Consider the following 19,413-nt stretch of genomic DNA (forward strand, 5'->3'; position numbering starts at 1 on the left):
CAGGTATAATAACAGAACCTACCTCAAGGTAGTGAGGATTAAATCAGCTCGTGTTTGAAAAGTCGTTAGGACAGGGCCTGGTACGGGAACCGCTGAATGAGTGTTACTCAGCTCAGAGTTTACTTCTGTACATCTTGCCCAGATCTGGGGTGATTCTGCCTGGGGTTAGGACAGGGTTGGGGTGTTAGTTTGACTGTAGCCCCTTGGGTGCTTCAGCTTGTGAAGTCAGGATGAACAGGTGTAACCAGCCCCAGGCCTGCTGTCTTGCTACTTCTGTTGTGGCCACAACTCCCTTTGCCCTCAGACCCTCTCATTTTTGGGAGAAGGCAGGGTGAGATGGGGGCAGATGCTCCAATGGACTCCACTTATGGCCTTGGGAAAGCTGGGCCAGCTCATGGGACCATGTCAAAAGACGGTAGGTTTCATGTCCAACTCTGGAACTGGATGGGACAATCACAGGGTAGCTAGAAGGCAAAACTGGAGAGCAGCGAGGGGAATCGAGGGGACCTGCTTCCCGAGGAGCAGCTAGAATACTTGGTTATTATTACCAATGCAGCTGCAGGACCTGGTCCACTTCTACAAGCCCGTGACTGTTCCCAGGCTTCTGTCACGCACCAGCATTCACCTGTCAGGGCTGCCGTAGGTGGGCTTGCATTTTGTGCATTGTACCAAGGTGCCCAGCTGAGGGTTGAGAGGACCTGAAATGCAGTCCACACTCAGCTCTCCAACCTAAGAGTCCTGGAGCAAAAGACCCCTTCTGCTATGTTCTTGGGGCTAGGTCTGCCCGGAGTGGCCCATTTTTCCAGTCCCACCAAAGCCCTGGAATAGTGTAGTGGCACCTAGCTACCTGAACTTGTGAGCACGTATCTATAGTCGACTGAGTTGCCACTATACCCTGGAGTGCCCCCTCTCTGGGCTTCCTCCTGGCCCTCATACCCACCTCCTACTCTTACCTACGTGCAGGTCCTAGGGCTGGCTGGGAGTCCGAGAGGGGAATGCCCTGGTAACTGAACAGGCTCACCCTTGAGTGTGGCCTAAGGCGGTTTCCTGCCTCATCCCAGGGGGCTCATTAGATGTTCCTGGCAGTGTGCCCATCCTGGGCAGGCTCGTGGTGACCATGGGACGCCGGGCCCAGGGCCCTAGTGCCCTCCCTTGCATGCATCTTAGGAGAAAGAGTCATGGAACTGGATATTACACACCCCTCTTTCCTCCTGCCACTCACTCCTCTACTGAATTCCCACCCATGCCCCGTAAGGACCCAGATGCCTAGGGACAGTGGGGCTATGTCTGTGGTTTAAAACAAAATCCCTTGAAGTGGAGCGTCCAGCTTGCCCTGCATCTGGGGTCCTTCATAGGGAACCCTAATTATTGTTGATGAACAGCACATTCCTGGGGTGCTTAAGATGCAGGGAGCCGATTTGTGGCCTCGCCCAGTGGCCAGTAGGGAGAGGAGGATGAGGGGACAGCCACTGGGGGCTCCACAGTCAGCTGGAAATCTCTGAAAGGAACACTTCAAAGAAGTGTGTGGAATTTGGGTTCTCTTGCGTTGGAACTACCATGCAGAGCTCCAGGACCAAAGCCTCGGTCAGGAGCAGGAGTGGTGCTGAGTAGAAACAATGGCGCCCAGTGCTTCCCAGCCTGGCCACGTGGGGAGAAACAAAACACGCCTCCTCTCATGGCCCTCCAAAGTCTTTTTGGGCCACCTTATTTGGACACTTAATGGGAGTTATTATTATTGTTATTTTGAGATGGAGTTTCGCTCTGTCTCCCAGGCTGGAGTACAGTGATGCCATCTCCGCTCACTGCAGCCTCCACCTCCCAAGTTCAAGTGATTCTCCTGCCTCAGCCTCTCGAGCAGCTGAGACTACAGGTGCCCGCCACCATGCTTAGCTAATTTTTGTATTTTTGTAGAGATGGGATTTCACCATGTTGTCCAGGCTGGTCTCGAACTTCTGACCTTAGGTGATCTGCCCATCTTGGCCTCCCAAAGTGCTGGGATTACAGGCATGAGCCACCACATCCGGCCTTAAAGGGAGTTATTAATTCCCTCCTGCCCCAGAAGTGCCGGGCGGGAAAGCTCTGGACGCAGTATTTCTGAAGCAGATTGGACAGAAATCTGCAGGCCTGCAAACTGCAGTCAACAAAACGCCATTGAGCAGAGAGAATGGAGCATTTGGCACAAATCAGCTGCTTGCCCTCTGGCCCTGGAGGAGGCAGCCAGGGTCAAGGCTGCCCTGGGAAGCCCTGATGCTGGTCGCTTGTTGAGCCCTCAGCCCGGTTACTGGCTTCCCTCCTTGACATGGTCTCAACTGGACATGAGCCTTTGTCCCCAGCTCTGTCCTATGGGCCAGCATCTCTTTGGCTCTGCAGAGGTGAGTGGAAGGCGCTCTAACTGCGGATGCTCAGAGCCTGGCTTTGTAAAGTAGCTTGCCACCCTTACTAACTGCACAACCTTGGGCAAGCTCCTGGCCTTCTCCAGGCCCATTTTCACATTAGCAAGAGAGGAATAATGGCCATCTTCACAGTGTTCTGAGAGGATTACATGAAATAATGTATGTAAAGTGTTTGGCATGGTGCCTGGCACATGCTGCATCCGTAGTAAAAAGGTAGCTTCTGCTCTGGTGTGCTAGAAACCCCCTGCCAGCCTTGCTTGGTGAGGTTATTTGCATCCATTTTTGTGCACACTGGTGGTATGCAGGCCCTCTGCTAGGTGCCAAGCCTTGTCAGGCTTAGTGCCTGCCCTGGTAGAAAAGACAAAGCAAGGCCCCCAGGAGCTGATTGGAGGTCATTACCAGGGGTCCTGCTTAATTATAGCCCAGTTATTAAGTGCTCCTGATTCAGCCTTTTCAAAGTCCTCCTTTGCCTGAAGAACCTCCTCTGCATGGGGCTGGACCATGCCTCTCCCTGCCTGCCCTTCACTGGTTCTGCTCTGCCTTCAGCACAACCCACATCCAGCTGGTGTTGAAATACCTCTGTGCCAACCCAGGAGAGCGCTAAACTTGCACAACTTTTGGGGCATATCTGGATATACCAGCATGTTCATCCTCTAGGCAAGAGACAGAGGGTGGCACGGGGCCTGGAGAAAAGGCTAGACTCGGGTCATGTCATCAATCACTCCTTCCTTTATCTTCTTAGAGCCTGTTGCCTCTCACTCCACCCCCATGGGTGCTCAGGCTGGCGCAGGACTCAGGGGGCCTCTGATGTGGCCCTCCCTGGGGATCGGGGCAACAGGAACAACACAACGCGAGACTCCTGTGGTCGAGGCCTGCCTTCCCTCAGATTAGCTTTTTGGGAAGTCTGCTCCCTTGGACTGCATTCTCCATGCTTTTCCCCAGCTGGTTTCCCTGCCCCTCCTCTTCACATTCTGACCTCCCTGTGCTGGATGTGGGACAGCTATCCTGTCTGTAAGATAAGATAATTAAAAGCCTGGTGGCTCTTTCCCTGCTGCCACCAAGTCATGCAGAGACGGAGGCTCAGGCTCAGTTGCGTTCAAGATTCGGCTTCACCCGTAACCCACTGCCATGGCCGAGGAAGGCATTGCTGCTGGAGGGGTAATGGACATTAATGCTGCTTTACAAGAGCTGTTGAAGACAGCCCTCATCCACGATGGCCTAGCACATGGAATTCGCAAAGCTACCAAAGCCTTAGACAAGCGCCAAGCCCATCTTTGTGTGCTTGCATCCAACGGTGATGAGACTGTGTATGTCAAGTTGGTGGAAGCCCTTTGTGCTGAGCACCAAATCAACCTAATTAAGGTTGATGACAAAAGAAACTGGGGGAATGGGTAGGTCTCTGTCAAATTGACAGAGAGGGGAAACCCCGTAAAGTGGTTGGTTGCAGTTGTATAGTAGTTAAGGACTATGGCAAGGAGTCTCAGGCCAAGCATGTCATCAGAGAGAACTTCTAATGCAAGAAATGAAGAAAATATCTTTGGCTCACAAAAAAAACAAAAAAAGCCTGGTGCCCACAGCGGCTCTATACTTATTAGCTCACCATCGACCCTCTTCTGGGCACTGAATACTGGAACACTAAGGGGTGGCTCCTGCCCTGTGGCAGAGATGGTCACAGAAGAGTAGAGTGGCTACAGAGTGATACACAGAGGTGGAGTGTTCTGTCCAGCTGCTAGAGTTCTGCCTCCCAGGCCTGTGATCTGACTTGTTGTGCATGGAAGCTCTATTCTGCACTCCTGGATCCATCTGGAAGCCCATCCTGTAGTCTTAACAGGCTTCCGAGAGGTGGGGGGCCTGTGGCGAGGGGGTTTCAGTGGGGATGGTAGGTAGGAGACAGAAGCCATCATTTTACCATACTCCTAAAGAGGAGCCAAATTAGCCAACTCGTGTCCTCTTTTTTGGCATCTTTTGGCCCATCCTCTAGGAAGGGGGCCAACTGGAAGAGCAAATAAAAGCGGCCATTGCGGTGCACTCCCTGTGTGCCAGGCACTGCTGTTGGATGTGGAAGTGCATTGCTTTATCTCATGCAGATGAGGAAACCAAAGCTCAGTGAAGCTAACTCATTATCAAGGTCATGCAGCTATAGAAGAGTTTGGGACCAAGCCTTGGGCCACAGTTCTCGATTCAGCAACCACATTCTTTCCATTAGAACAGCTGCCTCCTGCTTCACCTGTGAATCGTACAAAAGCAGCAAGATGACCCGGCTCAGCCCTTGAATAATTGCAGGTTATATTTTTCCATCTGTTAAAGAAATCTGTTGAGGTCAGTCTCTGGACGGGGCAGGGGATCCAGCCGAGGCCCCTGGTTGCATGGCCATAGTTGGGAAGAGGGCAGAGCTGGCAGACATGTGGCACACAGGAGACTGAGGCACACATCTCAGACAGAAGTTTGCAAACTGAAGGGTAGTGGGCCACAGCCAGCCTGGAGATACATTTTGTTTGACTTCCAAGTTCTTTAGAAAAATTTTAATTAGGCCAGGTGCGGTGGCTCACGCCTATAATCCCAGCACTTTGGGAGGCCGAGGCGGGTGGACCACTTGAGGTCAGGAGTTTCGAGACCAGCCTGGCCAACGTGGTGAAACCCCATCTCTACTAAAAATAGAAAAATTAACTGGGCATGGTGGCAGGCACCTGTAATCCCAGCTACTCAGGAGGCTAAGGGAGGAGAATCACTTGAACCTGGGAGACAGGGGTTGCAGTGAGCCGAGATCATGCCATTGCACTCCAGCCTGGAAGACAAGAGCAAAACTCCATCTCAAAAAAAAAAAAAGAAAGAAAAATTTTAATTAGTTGCTGATATTTAAAACTTAGGAAATTTTACATAAAAATCTAGGTTTCCAGCTTTTCTGAAGGTCTGGTAAGGTTGGACCCCCATTCCGTGTAGCAGCACGTGTCTGGGGCCTAAGTCTTGCGTGTGAAAAAGGGCTAGAGTAAAAGTAGAAGGCAAGAAGCAAGGGGAGGAGTAGGGAGCATGGGGAGAACCCATCTTGATTATTGATGGTCACTGACCCCTAATCTTTGCAGAGCTTTGCACTGCCACGTACTGTGTTTATTTAGTCTTCTCAGCAATCCTGCAAGGCAGCCCTCTCAGGACTGAGAATTTGTTCGGGGTTGCACAGTGGGTCAGTGATCAAGTGAGGATTCACACACATGTCTTGTGCCCCTTCCAGTCCGTGAAGCTTGTTTCTTGTCTCCCTACCATACTTTCAGCTGTCATACTTCCACCTGTCATACTTAATTCTTTTTTTCTTTTTCTTTTTTTTTTTTGAGATGGGGTCTCACTCTGTCACCCAGGCTGCAGTGGTGAGATCTTGGCTCACTGCAACCTCCACCTCCCAGGCTTAAGCGATCTTCCCACCTCAGCCTCCTGAGTAGCTGGGACCTCAGGCATATGCCACCATGCCCAGCTAATTTTTGCATTCTTGGTAGAGACAGGGTTTCATCATGTTGCCCAGGCTGGTCTCGAGCTCCTGTCAGCTGTTATACTTCTATGTGTTCAGTGCTTTTGGGAGGGGTCAGAGTGGTAGCAGTGCTTCTCAGACACACTTTTGTGAGTGTGATGCTTCAGGACCTCCACGTTGCCCCATTTTTATCTGGGGCCCCTCTCTGGGCTGGAGCACTCTCACTGGGACTGTGTCATTCATTTGTTTAGTCAACAAACATTTATGGAACAACTGCTGGGAGCTCACCTGACCAGTTGATACAAATATGAATAAGACATGGTCTTGATCTTGAAGATGCTGTCAGCTTGGTGGAAAAGAAGAGCACAAAGACCGGGCGCGGTGGCTCACACCTGTAATCCCAACACTTTGGGAGGCCGAGGCAGGCGGATCAGCTGAGGTCAGGAGTTCAAGACCAGCCTGGCCAACATGGTGAAACCCCATCTCTACTAAAAAAATATATATATATATACAAAAATTAGCCGGGCATGATGGCGGGTGCCTGTAATTCCGGCTACTCAGGAGGCTGAGGCTGAGGCGGAAGAATCGCTTGAACCCAAGGTTCAAGGTTGCAGTGAGCCAAGATCATGCCATTGCACTCTAGCCTGGGCGACAGAGCAAGACTGTCTTAAAAAAAAAAGAGAGAAGAGCGCAGAAAGACCCTCCTCATCATCATCAAACATCAAACATTGCCATCATCCGACAGTGTCACCAGTGCACTACAAGACGTGTGAACAGGAAATGATGGGCATACGGAGAAGGGCCCTTGCCCAGCCGGGGATCCAGGAAGGCCTCCTGGAGGAGGTGGAACTGAGCCAAGTCTCAAAGGATGAGTGTGAGTTAGTCAAAAGGAAAGCCTTCTGGGTGGAGGGGACTTCCTGAACAGACCGGAGATGAGAGAATTGGGCCCTTGAGTTGCAGTTCCATGTCACTTGGTCGAACCAAGAGGTGGGTGGGTGGCAAGCACTAGCAAGTTAGGAGCTTGGACGACGGGGTGCTATTGAAGTTTTTAGGCAGAACAGTGACGGCTCCCAGAGAGCCCTCTGGCTGCAGCATAGCAGCTGGCCTGGAGATGGGAGGCTGGTTGGGAGGCTGCTGTGATGGTGGCCTAGGTGAGAGAGGATGGTGCCAGGCTCAGGACTGCGGTAGTGGGGATGGTGAGGGGAATGGATTTGGAAAATATTGAGAGAAAATTGGCAGGATTTGATTATAGACTGGACTTCTGAGGAAGGAGGATGGTGAGACACCCAGGTGAGTGGTGCCACACACAAACACAAAATGCCAAGCCAGGGAGTGGGACTGGAAGGGGGCGGTGAGGTGGTGGGAGGCACCCACAGAGGCCCTTCTGCACTGTGGGGTCTGGTGTGTTGGAGGAAGATCTGCACTTGGATGAGGAGATTTGGGGATCGCCAGCATCCGCGTCATTGAAGTGATGAGCATGGACGTGTGACCCAGGGGCTTGAACGGAGTTAAGAAGAGCAGGGCCAGGAGCAGACAGACCTAGAGAGCAAGAACATTCAGGAGCAAAGCCTGAGGCAGGAGGGTGGTCATCAACACAGATGCTGCAGCCAGGTGGCCCAGGGTCGGGCGGCATCCCCACCACTCCTCCCGGGGATGACTTGCACCTGAAACAGAGGTAATAAAACACAGCAGCCTTGTGAGGATGACATGACTTAATCCGTTTAAAGGGCTGAGAAAGTGCTCACATACTTTAGCTCTTTGAGGGCTAGAGGCCCAGAAGGCATGTGAGGGAGACACGGAGTGATGCTTGAGACTGGGGGCACAGGTACCTAGAGGACGGGGTGGCGTGGCCCGTGTCTGGGGTCTGTCAGCGAGGCGATCCCTGGGCTCTTGGCAGGGCTGGCACTGCTGAACGTGGGGCTGGCTGAGGCCCAACTTCTGTGGAGGAGTGAGTGGAAGGTGAGAGGCAGAGATGGCATGGGGTGGCTGTTCTCTTTGGGAGCTTGTCTAAGGCAGGTGGAGGGAGGCACAAAAGTTTCTAGAATGGACATTGGAACAAAAACTGCTTTCTGACAGGTAGAGTTGGTGACATAGGATTTGGTCTCTGAGGAGATGGGGTGGGAAGTTGAGGTTGTTTATGCCTGATGACCCCGATTTCCTTGGAAGAAGTGGAGACATCTATAAAAGCAGGAAGGCAGACCCAGGGCAGAGGCCCTAGAAGCCGGGTTGTTAGAGGGGAGCCAGCCCCTGAGCAGAGGGACTGAGCGTGTCCCTGTGTAGACCTGTGAGCAGGCAGGCGGCAGGCAGGCTCCTAAGGTGACGGCAGTGGTCTGTGCACCCATGGCACAGGCCCTAGGTCGGGACTGGGACTGCCTGGGGGTTCTGGCAGAGGCTCTTCGTCTGCCCACTTGGGGCTGTAGCAATGGCTTTCCGGGGCATGCCCCAGGAGCACAGATGCTGTGAGGCCAGGTTCCCTTGCCCTCGTTGCCACTTTCTTGGTGACCTCAGTCCATGGGAGGACCCTTGGCACACAATACCCCCAACCTCTGCCCAGAGTCCCTGGTCAGGGACTCGACTCTGGCACTGGGCTGGTGTCAGCAGAATGTGGCCCCCTCCTCCATGCTCCATGAGGAAGAAGTGGCTGCCCTGCCCAACACGGGCCGTGTGGAGGAAGGAAGTGCACCCAGGTTGGCAGTGTGTCCCAGTTTCCTGCTGACTGTGGCCCCGTCAGCACTCCTGCCCTGGAGGTGGGGCTGCTGCTGGGGTAAGTGGGTCCAAGGTTCTGGTGACTTATCGTGACATCCCTGGGGACGAAGGGCTACAACAGCCTTTCAGGAGGCTCTCTGGGGACTTGTCCCGCCCAGACCCCTCTCTGAGAGTGGGGGAGGCCACTGGCTGCCTCCTTGCATTGGAGGCCCCTTCCCCACCGACTCCACAGGGAAGCTGGTGTTTTCTGGCCTGATCCTGCTGGGGCCTGTAGAGGGTGGGATGTTAGGGCCAGGTCAGCGTCTTGCTGCCGTGCCCGGAGCCACAGTAGAGAGAAAGGTGGGGTGGGGTTCTGAGTCACAGCGCTGCTGCAGCTAGCTGGCTGGCCTGGGGTGGGGACTAACCAGGGTGGGGATGGTGCTGAGCCCTATTCCTGTCTCACCCCAGAGAGCTCCAGGCTTCCGGCTGAGTCACAGGGAAGGAGGACCCTTACATGGGGCTGAGGGCTGAGTATTCCCACATCACTTCCTACTCAGAACCCCACTTCCTACTCAGAACCCCACTTCCTGGGGTGGGGAGTGGGGACCCTGCAGGTGACTCTTATGTGCCCATTCCATGTGCCGTCTCCCTCCAGGGAGGGACAGGGCAGCCCCAGACCAGCCCCGGTCTGCCTTTTTGAAGGATGATCTGCCTAGTGGGATGCACTGGCCTTGGTGAAGCCCCTGGCTGAAGCCTGTCGGGGTGGAGGGAGAGGGTTCACCCTGAATGGGAAAACCGGCCGCAGCCTCGGCGTGCCCTGCTTTCTTCATACTGGACTAACCCACTGGATAGATGGATTTAGAGGATGTCCGAGCAGCACAGGCAGCCCAGGAGAGCGAGCGAGACACTCTTTGACACAAGGGAGAGCATAAAAGCTTAAGACTGACCCCAAGGTGCGCCAGCCCCTCGCAGGAAGTAAAGTGCAGAAACACCTCCACCCCTGCACAAAGAGCACCTAGGAGTGAGTGCGCAAGCGTGGACAAGCCCTGCGGTACCGTGTACACACACACACACACACACACACCACAGGCAAGCTCAGGCAGGGTCCTTCACAGACGTCTGCAGTCACTCTGGAGGTGACCCAAGCACCTGGGCCCTTAGACAGTAACACCACTCACACCGAGCACAGACCAGCTCGCGCCCACAACACGAGCCTGTGACACGCAAGTCTCTGTTTCTGAGCTGATGCCGTCTGGCTTTGGCCATGAGACCCTCGTGTGACCAGGTGCGTGCCTAAGTTAGAATCGCCCAGGCTAAGTTCGTGAACCCCCTGGATGAGGGAGGCCCGACTCCCGCAAGGAGCCCTGCCCTTCTGCCAGCTCTCACCGGGCCGGATTTTCCTGCGGGGCTTTTGGATTTTGTTTTTGAGTCACTCATTGAGTGTTGGTCGCGTGCCAGACACCATGCCACACTGCAAACCATGTGCAACGTTGTTTTAGCAAAGCTGTCTCAGTAAATGTGGGTTATTATGTATATTATTATTTACATACGTAATCTCATTTTTTCTAATAACAACCCCATGAGGCAAAGTGTTATTATTTTCCCCATTTTACAGATAAGGAAAACGGGGCTTTGAGAGGTTAAGTGGCGTGTCCTGGTGGCACACAGCCAGTAAGTGGTAGAGGATGGCTTTGAACCCAGGTCTCTAACTCTACTCTGCACACCATGGCTTTCAGTCTGACTCTCAGGGCAGAGAGATGAGGCAAGTGTGGAAGGGAAGCCCCAGAAGGGGAAAGCCTGGTTAAGGGGCCCTTCACCCCCCTCTCCAAGGCACATTCCCCTTTCTGTCCCTTTGTCGTTTCATTCACTCTACTCCCAGCATGGCTGGAGGGCTTGTGGCTGGCTCGTTTGGAGGCCTGGGCTGAACCAGGGACTGGCTGGTCTATAGGTTTCCCCTCCAGCCGGCTGCACTCTGTAGTGCCCGAGGCAGGTTTCCACCCCTTCTCCCAGGCGTAAGTGGGATTGAGTTGCCACCTGGGACTGAGGCTTATCTCTGACTCTTGGCATTTCTTTGTCTGGACAGATTCCAAGGGCGGTCTGCTGCCCAGACTTACAGGGCCTGCCCAGGTGGAAACGCTCTTTTGCAGGTAGATAAGCACGGGCAACCAGCTTATCTGAACCAGCCCTTGCTTCCAGAGAACTATGGAAAAATCCAAAAGATAAGAAGGGACCGCAGTGTCTGTCTTGGTCTCACTCCTCTTGAGACTCCTGTGATCTTTATATGTCTCATTCCTCCCGTGACATGTATGAGAAACTGCAGCTCATTGAGACGATGTCTCTGCTGCCTGACAGAAGGGCCTACTTGAGGGCCGGGCTCGGTGGCTCAGCCACCTGACCCCCGTCATCCTGTTAACTAGTGTCACCCCCACCCGAGGGCTTCCTTCCCCATTTGCTGCCAGGTGTAAAGCTGAGCTTCGGCTGGGCGCGGTGGCTCAGGCCTATAATCCCAGCACTTTGGGAGGCTGAGGCAGGCGGATCACCTGAAGTCAGGAGTACGAGAGACCAGCCTGGCCAACATGATGAAACCCTGACTTTACTGAAAATACAAAAATTAGCTGGGCATGGTGGCAGGCACCTGTAATCCCAGCTTCTTGGGAGGCTGAGGCAGGAGAATCGCTTGAACCTGAGAGGTGTAGGTTGCACCATTGCACTCCAGCCTGGACAACAAGAGAGAAACTCCGTCTCAAAAAAAAAAAAAAAAAAGGGCTGAGCTGCTGGGCGTGGTGGCTCACGCCTGTAATCCCAGCACTTTGGGAGGCCGAGGCGGGTGGATCACATGAGGTCAGGAGTTCAAGACCAGCCTGACCAACATGGAGAAACCCCGTCTCTACTAAAAATACTTTGCCGGGCGTGGTGACATATGCCTGTAATCCCAGCTACTCAGGAGGCTGAGGCAGGAGAATCGCTTGAACCTGGGAGGCGGAGGTTGCGGTGAGCCAAGATTGTGCTATTGCACTCCAGCCTGGGCAACAACAGCAAAACACCATCTCAAAAAAAAAAAAAAAAAAAAAGGCTGAGCTTCCCCCAAATGGCTGATATGTGTTCCTCCTTATGGACATTGAGGATGGAGTAGCTTCATTTCCCATTTTTCTTTGGCCACCAGGAGGCCCAGCACTAAAGGCTCAGCCCTTCTCTACCAGCTGTGCGAAGACTCATTGACCTACTCGTGAATTTTTACTTCCTTGCTGATGGAGATGTTTTTCTTCAGATTTGGGTTTTCTCTGCTCCTGATTTTAATGTTTATATTTCACTACTTTCTTTTCTTCATGTCTCCCCACCCTTTATGGAACCAGGCTGGGGGTATGTAAAAACACTCCACAGGTAAACACACATGAAGTCATCTTCACAGCTGCTTGATTGGGCGTGTTGCACTTTTTGCTTCCTCAGCTTCGTGAGACTGTTTGTGTGGTCATAACCCACTGGTCCGCTACAACGTGCCTGAGGGTGGTCAGGGTGCTGCTCTTTGCTTGTTTTTGTGTTCTCATCAGCTGCTTAGAATTTTAAAAATAATTTCTCTCCAAACCCTTTAGTTACCCAAAGCATAAACAGTACCCTGGTGGGTAAGTGTGTGTGTGTTTCTTTTTTTTTTTCTTTGATTTATATATTTCACATTATATAAGGATAACCTGCTTATTAGAGAATCTAAAAATGATAACAAGTAAAAAAGAAAAGAAAGCTACCTGTAATTCTACCAGGGAGCCCATGTTTTAGTGTTTTGTGATACATCCTTCTGGATTTTTTTCCTATGCTTATATTTTTCCCACAAAAAATAGAATTTGACCATACATACTAAATATAACCTGAATTTTCACTTCATGGTAGATAATTCGTGTCTTTCCTTGTTGTTATTCTGCAAAAACAAAAGCTACTTAAAATGTGTACCAAGGTCTGGGCGCAGTGGCCCACACCTGTAATCCCAGCACTTCGGGAGGCTGAGGCAGGCGGATTGCTTGAAGCCAGGAGTTCGAGACCAGCCTGGCCAACATGGCAAAACCCTGTCTCTACTAAAAATACAAAAGTTAGCCGGGCATGGTGGCACATGCCTGTAATCCCAGCTACTCGGGAGGCTGAGGCAGAAGAATTGCTCGAACCTGGAAGGCGGAGGTTGCGGTGAGCCGAGATCATGCCAGTGCACTCCTGCCTGGGCAACAGAGTGAGACTCAGTCTCAAAAAATAAATAAAATTTGTATCAAGGATACATGCACGTATATATATATTTTTAAGTATAGAAGGGCTTATTATAAAAAGCAAAAACGTCTGTCCTCCCTCACCCCAGGCCAATTTAAAAGGGACTTTTAATCATTTAGGGTTCTTAGGGTTCTTGTTCTACCATTATTTCCTCCATTTTTTTTTTTTCTTTTTGAGATGGAGTTTCACTCTTGTTGCCCAGGCTGGAGTGCAATGGTGTGATCTCAGCTCACCGCAACCTCTGCATCCCAGGTTCAAGCGATTCTCCTGCCTCAGCCTCCCGAGTAGCTGGGATTACAGGCATGTGCTACTACGCCTGGCTAATTTTATATTTTTAGTAGAGACGGGATCTCTCCATGTTGGTCAGGCTGGTCTCGAACTCAGGTGATCCACACCAAAGTGCTGGGATTATAGGTGTGAGCCACCACGCCCAGCCCATTTCCTCCATATTTTTAAGTAAAATACTTACACCACTATTTCTTGGCTTATTTGAATTCCTAACTTTCCCTCACTTACATCTCCCTTCCATTCCTCCCCCCAACATATTCTGTCACCGTACTGTATTCACTTCCTTTATTGGTTACCTTTGCAATATAAAACAGTACACTTGACCTGTATTTATTATTCCATTAGCCATTGGCAGCAGCTTGTGACAACCCTGCTACCATATTATGATGTCTGTCTGTCATCAGTTCTGGTTTCTGAGGTCAAAATTGAAAACACTCCCATTCTGTGTAATAACCATCAGTCTCAAAGACCAGTGCTTTTTTGGGAGGCTGACGCGGGCAGATCACTTGAGTTCAGGAGTTTGAGACCAGCCTGGCCAACATGGTGAAACCCCGTCTCTACTAAAAATACAAAAATTAGCTGGGTGTGATGGTGCATGCCTGTAATACCAGCTACTTGGGAGGCCGAGGCAGGAGAATCACTTGAACCTAGGAGGTGGAGGTTGCAGTGAGCCAAGATCATGCCACTGCACTCCAGCCTGGGCAACAGAGCGAGACTTCGTCTCAAAAAAAAAAGAAAAGCCCATGCTCAACATTTGCATTACTCTGTCAATGCAAATAGCATTCACTGCAGGGCCCACTTAACATTTCCTTCTCTTTGGGTCTAATGTCACTCAAAGGAAAGTGTTAAATGTATTTTCCTTTCTTAATATTCTATTATGTGCTCAAAACTCATCACTTTATATTTTAGTTTGCTTGATATTTTGACCATGCCTTTCTTGCCTGTTTTTCTGGAGCTTCTAATACATCATTTTTTTTCCCAGCTGTATAGTATTCAGTTGGATTGAGGCATCATAATTTATTTTGACAAGGTCCCCTCTGGTTGGACGGACTCTTTGGTTTTCAGTTTTTTATTAATGTGAAGGGTGCCGTAGTAAGTATCCTTGTACATACATCTCTGCATCATTTCTTATGTAATGTTTGAGAGTCCAGGAATGCTGCTCGCCCATCAAACCTGATCCCCCTGCCCCCAGCCCCTTGCCATTGCCACCCTTTGCCTTGCTGATTACCTTCCTTTAAACCAGTCCATCTAAAGGTTGGTGTTAAGAGGCTTCCCATGGGAGGGGTGGCCCCAGGTAATACCCATCTTCCTCTCCCCAGGCTCTGAAGAGCGGCCATTCCTCAGATTCGAAGCTGAACACATCTCCAACTACACAGCCCTTCTGCTGAGCAGGGATGGCAGGACCCTGTACGTGGGTGCTCGAGAGGCCCTCTTTGCACTCAGTAGCAACCTCAGCTTCCTGCCAGGCGGGGAGTACCAGGAGGTGAGAGATGTTGCCTGGAGCTGGCTAGGCTGGGCAGAGGACCACAGAGGGAAGATGGACGGGAAGCTTGACCTTCTGGGTCCAAGGATGATGCCTATGGGAGAGGAGGGAGGCTCAGCAAACCCTCCATTTTGTCCACTACCTTCCCCTTTCTCATTCCCCAGCTGCTTTGGGGTGCAGACGCAGAGAAGAAACAGCAGTGCAGCTTCAAGGGCAAGGACCCACAGGTGAGCCCACACCTGGAAGGGAGCTGAGCTGCAGGAGGGATGGAGGGTGGTGGACTTCCATCCAGGCCAGAGGCGGGAGGTGGGAGCAGATACAGCCAGGTATGGTGGGAAGGGCATAAGCTTCTGAGATTACCCGGCCTGGGTTTGAATCCCAGCACTACACTTACATCGCTACGACCTTCGACAAGTAGATTCACCTGTCTAAGCCTTAGTGGGCCCACCTGTAAAATGGGGATAATGATCCGGTCTCACTGGGCTTACAGTGAGGATTCAGGAAGCTAATAGGTGTAAGGCACCTGGCTCATAGATACAAGACCTAACAAGTCAGCTTCCAGCGTGAACAGAGATTGGGTGGGGTGAGAGTTGTGTCCCTCTGCAGATGGTTCCTGATGTAGCACATCTGACAGATTCTGGTGTGGTTTTGGCCAAAGCACAGGATGAAATCTGGTTCAACCCAGGTTCTCCTGGAGGACTCATCATCATCCCTAGAGGCCTCCTGCTCCTGCTCCTAAGTGCAGCAGGTGCTGGGTAAGGTGAGGGCAAACGAGTGCTGGACTTGGGATCAAGACACAGGTTCAAGTCCTGGCTGCCATTCTGTTATTCAGCTAACATTGATGAAGCATGCACTCTGTGTCCATGTACTTTTAGGTACTGGAGATTTAATTGTGAAAAAGCAGGCTTGGCACAGTGGCTCACGCCTGTAATCCCAGCACTTCGGGAGGCTGAGGCAGGTGGATCACAAGGTCTCCACCTCATGGTCTCCTGAGTGTCTCAGGAGTTCGAGACCAGCCAGGCCAACATAGTGAAACTCCGTCTCTACTAAAAATACAAAAAACATTAGCCAGGCATGGTGGCAGGCGCCTGTAGCCCCAGCTACCTGGGAGGCTGAAGCAGGAGAATCGCTTGAACCTGGGAGGCAGAGGTTGCAGTGAGCCGAGATCTCGCCACTGCACTCCAGCCTGGATGACAGAATGAGACTGTGTTTCAAAAGAAAAAGTAGTCAGTTTACAAATGTTATTGGCGGGGCGTGGGATGGAATGAGGTGGTCAGGTAACATTTCATTAAAAAAGTGACATTTGAGCCAAGATCAGGAGAGAGTGAGGAGCTGACAGTGGCATATCTGGAGGAGGGGCAGGACTTTTGATTTCACTCTGAGGGAGGTATTTGGGAGGCCAGGGGAAGGCTGAGCAGAGATGTGACATGGTCTCACCTGTGTACTAAGAGGGTCACTCTGGCTACTGTGGTAGAGAAGCCTCCATGGGGAAGGACAGGAGGAGGGAGAGCAGTGAGGGGCGAGTGATGATGGTGGCTCGGACCAGTGAGAAATGCTCAGATTCCGGATGCATTTTGAAGATGGAGCCACCAGGATTTCTGGGTGGGAAATTATGGGGTATGACCGACAAGAAGAGTCAAGGCTGACTGGGTTTGGGGCCTCAGCGACTGAAAAGACAGAATTAATGAAAGTGGCAAGATCTCGGGGGGAAGCATGTGTTTTAGGGAGGACCAGAAAGAAGCTTGGTTGCAGGTGCCAGTTAGATACCCCATTTGAAGGTGATGCATGAATCTGGGGTTCAGGGTTCAGGGCTGAGCAGTCCTCCTGCTCTGGGCTGTGGCTTCATCAGCTCCCAGCTTGGTTGGGAGGGGCCTGTGGCTTCTGAAGAGGATGCTGCTGGGGAATAGTACAACTCAAAGGGGTAGGATTCTGTGCCCTCACCCCTAGGCCGAAGGAAAGTTTGCCAGTCACAAAACTAGCTGAGCCCCTGGGCTCCCTGCAGCACACACACTCTGTGCACGCTCCACTGTGCCCCAGAAAACCCGTGGGTTCTTTGTTCCTAGACTTGAGTGCCCCATCCCCAGTCCTGGGAGCAGAGGCCGGGCCTGGGTGTGGAAGGGGGGGCTCGGCGGTGCCCCCTGGTGGCATGCTTGGGCGTGGGACTGATATCCCCTCGCTCCTTCCCCCCAGCGCGACTGTCAAAACTACATCAAGATCCTCCTGCCGCTCAGCGGCAGTCACCTGTTCACCTGTGGCACAGCAGCCTTCAGCCCCATGTGTACCTACATCGTGAGTGACCTGTCCTCAGCCCTGAGGCTGACCTGGGAACTGCCCCTCTTTCTGCCCCAGGGATCCTGTTCTGTAGCATAGACCCCTGAGGAAAGGCAGGGCCCAGAGGGAGGTTTCTAGGTACCACTGGCCTCCAAGAGCCCTGAGGTCCCACACCCTGGCACAAAGCGCAGCCCTGACAGCCATGTCTCCCTGTGCGGGGAGGCGGGGGCACATGCGGTCACTTACCCATGAAGATCCTGTGCCACCCAGGCCTTGCTGCCCTCTTCTGCTTCTTCCAGCATCTCTCCCTCTCCTTTGCTTGATTCTCTTGTCTTATCTTGTACACCCCCTCCTCAGCACACACCCCTAGCAGAGGGTGGCATTTGATGCTGTGGGTTGGAGCCCAGCTTTGGGGTCAGACACACCTGGGTTTGAATCACATTGCTGCCCCTTCCAGGCTCACATCATTTTATTTCTTTTTTCTTTTTCTTTTCTTTTTTTTTTTTTTTTTTGAGATGGAGTCTCGCTCTGTCGCCCAGGCTGGAGTGCAGTGGCACGATCTCGGCTCACTGCAAGCTCTGCCTCCTGGGTTCACGCCATTCTCCTGCCTCAGCCTCCCGAGTAGCTGGGACTACAGGTGCCCGCCACCACGCCTGGCTAATTTTTTCTATTTTTCGGTAGAGAGGGGGGTTTCACCGTGTTAGCCAGGATGGTCTTGATCTCCTGACCTCGTGATCCACCCGCCTCGGCCTCCCAGAGTGCTGGGATTACAGGTGTGAGCCACCGCGCCCGGCCAGGCTCACATCATTTTCTAAGCCTCACCTCCTCCGCCAGGTGGGTCTGATAATGTGTCCCGCGTCGGGTCACTGTGAGGCAGTGTGGCACTGTGTCTGGGTGAGGCCTCTCCTGAGGCCGACTGTCCAGGTTCAAACCCTTCGGCACCGTGTCCTGGCTGAGGAGGACGGCGTCCCTGACACCTGACCCCTTCTGTCCCACACACCTCACCTGCCTGCAGAGTTGCCTTCTCCTGCACGCCTCTCTCTTTCTCACCAAGCCTGCTCCTCATTCCCTGGAGTGCCCCTGAGCCCATGTGTCCACCCTCCTGCAGAACATGGAGAACTTCACCCTGGCAAGGGACGAGAAGGGGAATGTCCTCCTGGAAGATGGCAAGGGCCGTTGTCCCTTCGACCCGAATTTCAAGTCCACTGCCCTGGTGGTTGGTGAGTGTTGAGGGCAGGATGGCTTCATTGAGGTTCCATGTAGGGGCACACAGGGCTAGAGGGCTAGCTTTGGACAGGCTGAGTCCATGCCATGCTTATTTCCAAGGGGACAGAATGGCCAGGGGCTTGCCTTGGGTTTGGTTTTTCCAAGTTCCAGCTTCCTTCTCTGCCCACCACAGGCAAAACGGGCAGTGCTGGGGTCACTCTGGGCCCTGAGCAGGGAGAAGGGGCCGTGCTGAGGAGCCCATTCCCATGGGAATGTTTTCTTGGCAGATGGCGAGCTCTACACTGGAACAGTCAGCAGCTTCCAAGGGAATGACCCGGCCATCTCGCGGAGCCAAAGCCTTCGCCCCACCAAGACCGAGAGCTCCCTCAACTGGCTGCAAGGTGAAGTCCTCTTGCCACCACCCAGAGGGCAGGGATCCTGTTCACCCAGCCCTAGAAGGGGGCACTTTCCCCCAGCTTGGCCTGTCTCCAGGGTTCCTGGGCTGACTCTGAGCTCCTGACCTGGTCCCTACAGACCCAGCTTTTGTGGCCTCAGCCTACATTCCTGAGAGCCTGGGCAGCTTGCAAGGCGATGATGACAAGATCTACTTTTTCTTCAGCGAGACTGGCCAGGAATTTGAGTTCTTTGAGAACACCATTGTGTCCCGCATTGCCCGCATCTGCAAGGTGAGGGGAACGGGCTGACAGGGTGGCCACCCCAGGGACCTCAAAGCCTCCACAGCTGCAAGATCACCCACATCCATGCATGGCCTTTCCCATCCCGCCAAGGAGTACAGCTTGGCTAACAGCTTTTCTCTCTCACCTTTTAAATTAAAATATCTTACTACTTTTTTCTTTTTTTTTTTTCTTTTTATTTTTAGACAGGATCTTTGCTCTGTCACCCAGGCTGGAGTGCAGTGGCACGATCACGGTTCACTGCAGCCTCGACCTCCTGGGCTCAAGCAGTTCTCCTACCTCAGCCTCCCGAGTAGCTGAGACTACAGGTGTGCGCCCCCATGCCCAGCTAATTTTTGTATTTTTTGTAGAGATGGGGTTTTACCACGTTGCCTGGGCTGGTCTCAAACTCCTGGGCTCAAACAATCCACCCACCTCGGCTTCCCAAAGTGCTGGGATTACAGGCATGAGCCACTGCACCCAGCCATTTTTTTTCTTTTCTTTTTTTTTTTTTTACTTAAAAAATGTGAAAATAGCCGGGCATGGTGGCTCACGCCTGTAATCCCAGCACTTTGGGAGGCCAAGGTGGGTGGATCACCTGAGGTCAGGAGTTTGAGACCAACCTGGCCAACATGGTAAAACCCCATCTCTACTAATAATACAAAAGTTAGCTGGGCGTGGTGGTGCACGCCTGTAATCCTAGCTACT

The 19,413-nt window shown here is 52.4% G+C and overlaps 1 protein-coding gene and 1 pseudogene across 9 annotated transcripts in view, besides 5 other annotated features; both read left to right on the forward strand.

Annotated features, from left to right (window-relative positions):
- The window catches only part of SEMA4B (semaphorin 4B), a 44,742-nt gene that overhangs the window by 18,129 nt on the left and 7,200 nt on the right, over positions 1-19,413 (forward strand). For 8 of the 9 annotated variants that reach the window (NM_001393916.1, NM_020210.5, NM_001324030.3 and 5 more), the window contains 6 exons: positions 14,391-14,554; positions 14,719-14,781; positions 16,745-16,843; positions 17,934-18,045; positions 18,319-18,432; positions 18,566-18,717. In NM_001393916.1, the coding sequence (NP_001380845.1) occupies positions 14,391-14,554; positions 14,719-14,781; positions 16,745-16,843; positions 17,934-18,045; positions 18,319-18,432; positions 18,566-18,717 (704 nt within the window). Of the gene's footprint in view, positions 1-11,888; positions 11,917-14,390; positions 14,555-14,718; positions 14,782-16,744; positions 16,844-17,933; positions 18,046-18,318; positions 18,433-18,565; positions 18,718-19,413 lie in introns of all 9 variants that reach the window. The other variant, NR_172049.1, reaches the window with a different exon arrangement.
- RPS12P26 (ribosomal protein S12 pseudogene 26) lies at positions 3,434-3,940 on the forward strand (annotated as a pseudogene).
- Positions 6,622-6,671: an enhancer, noted in NCBI's record as "active region_10068". NCBI's record gives its function as "activates an Ori minimal core promoter by ATAC-STARR-seq in GM12878 lymphoblastoid cells {active_cell/tissue: GM12878}" and the evidence as "EXISTENCE:reporter gene assay evidence [ECO:0000049][PMID:35858748]".
- Positions 8,207-9,406: an enhancer, noted in NCBI's record as "P300/CBP strongly-dependent group 1 enhancer chr15:90754487-90755686 (GRCh37/hg19 assembly coordinates)". NCBI's record gives its function as "activates an origin of replication core promoter dependent on BRD2, BRD4, P300/CBP, MED14 and CDK7 cofactors, with strong dependence on P300/CBP, by STARR-seq in HCT116 cells {active_cell/tissue: HCT116}" and the evidence as "EXISTENCE:reporter gene assay evidence [ECO:0000049][PMID:35650434]".
- Positions 9,470-9,644: a silencer, noted in NCBI's record as "fragment chr15:90755750-90755924 (GRCh37/hg19 assembly coordinates)". NCBI's record gives its function as "represses an EF-1alpha promoter that drives an FKBP-Casp9 reporter gene in an ReSE screen in phorbol 12-myristate 13-acetate-treated (for megakaryocytic differentiation) K562 erythroleukemia cells {active_cell/tissue: K562(+PMA)}" and the evidence as "EXISTENCE:reporter gene assay evidence [ECO:0000049][PMID:32094911]".
- Positions 11,589-11,883: a silencer, noted in NCBI's record as "tiled region #13535; K562 Repressive DNase matched - State 14:Gen5'". NCBI's record gives its function as "represses a minimal TATA promoter and a strong SV40 promoter by Sharpr-MPRA in K562 cells {active_cell/tissue: K562}" and the evidence as "EXISTENCE:reporter gene assay evidence [ECO:0000049][PMID:27701403]".
- Positions 18,315-19,153: an enhancer, noted in NCBI's record as "H3K4me1 hESC enhancer chr15:90764595-90765433 (GRCh37/hg19 assembly coordinates)". NCBI's record gives its function as "activates a minimal SCP1, AML or CMV promoter by ChIP-STARR-seq in primed H9 embryonic stem cells {active_cell/tissue: H9 hESC(primed)}" and the evidence as "EXISTENCE:reporter gene assay evidence [ECO:0000049][PMID:30033119]".

The sequence above is a fragment of the Homo sapiens genome, chromosome 15 (assembly GCF_000001405.40).
Source record: "Homo sapiens chromosome 15, GRCh38.p14 Primary Assembly".
In the NCBI taxonomy this organism is placed as follows: domain Eukaryota; kingdom Metazoa; phylum Chordata; class Mammalia; order Primates; family Hominidae; genus Homo; species Homo sapiens.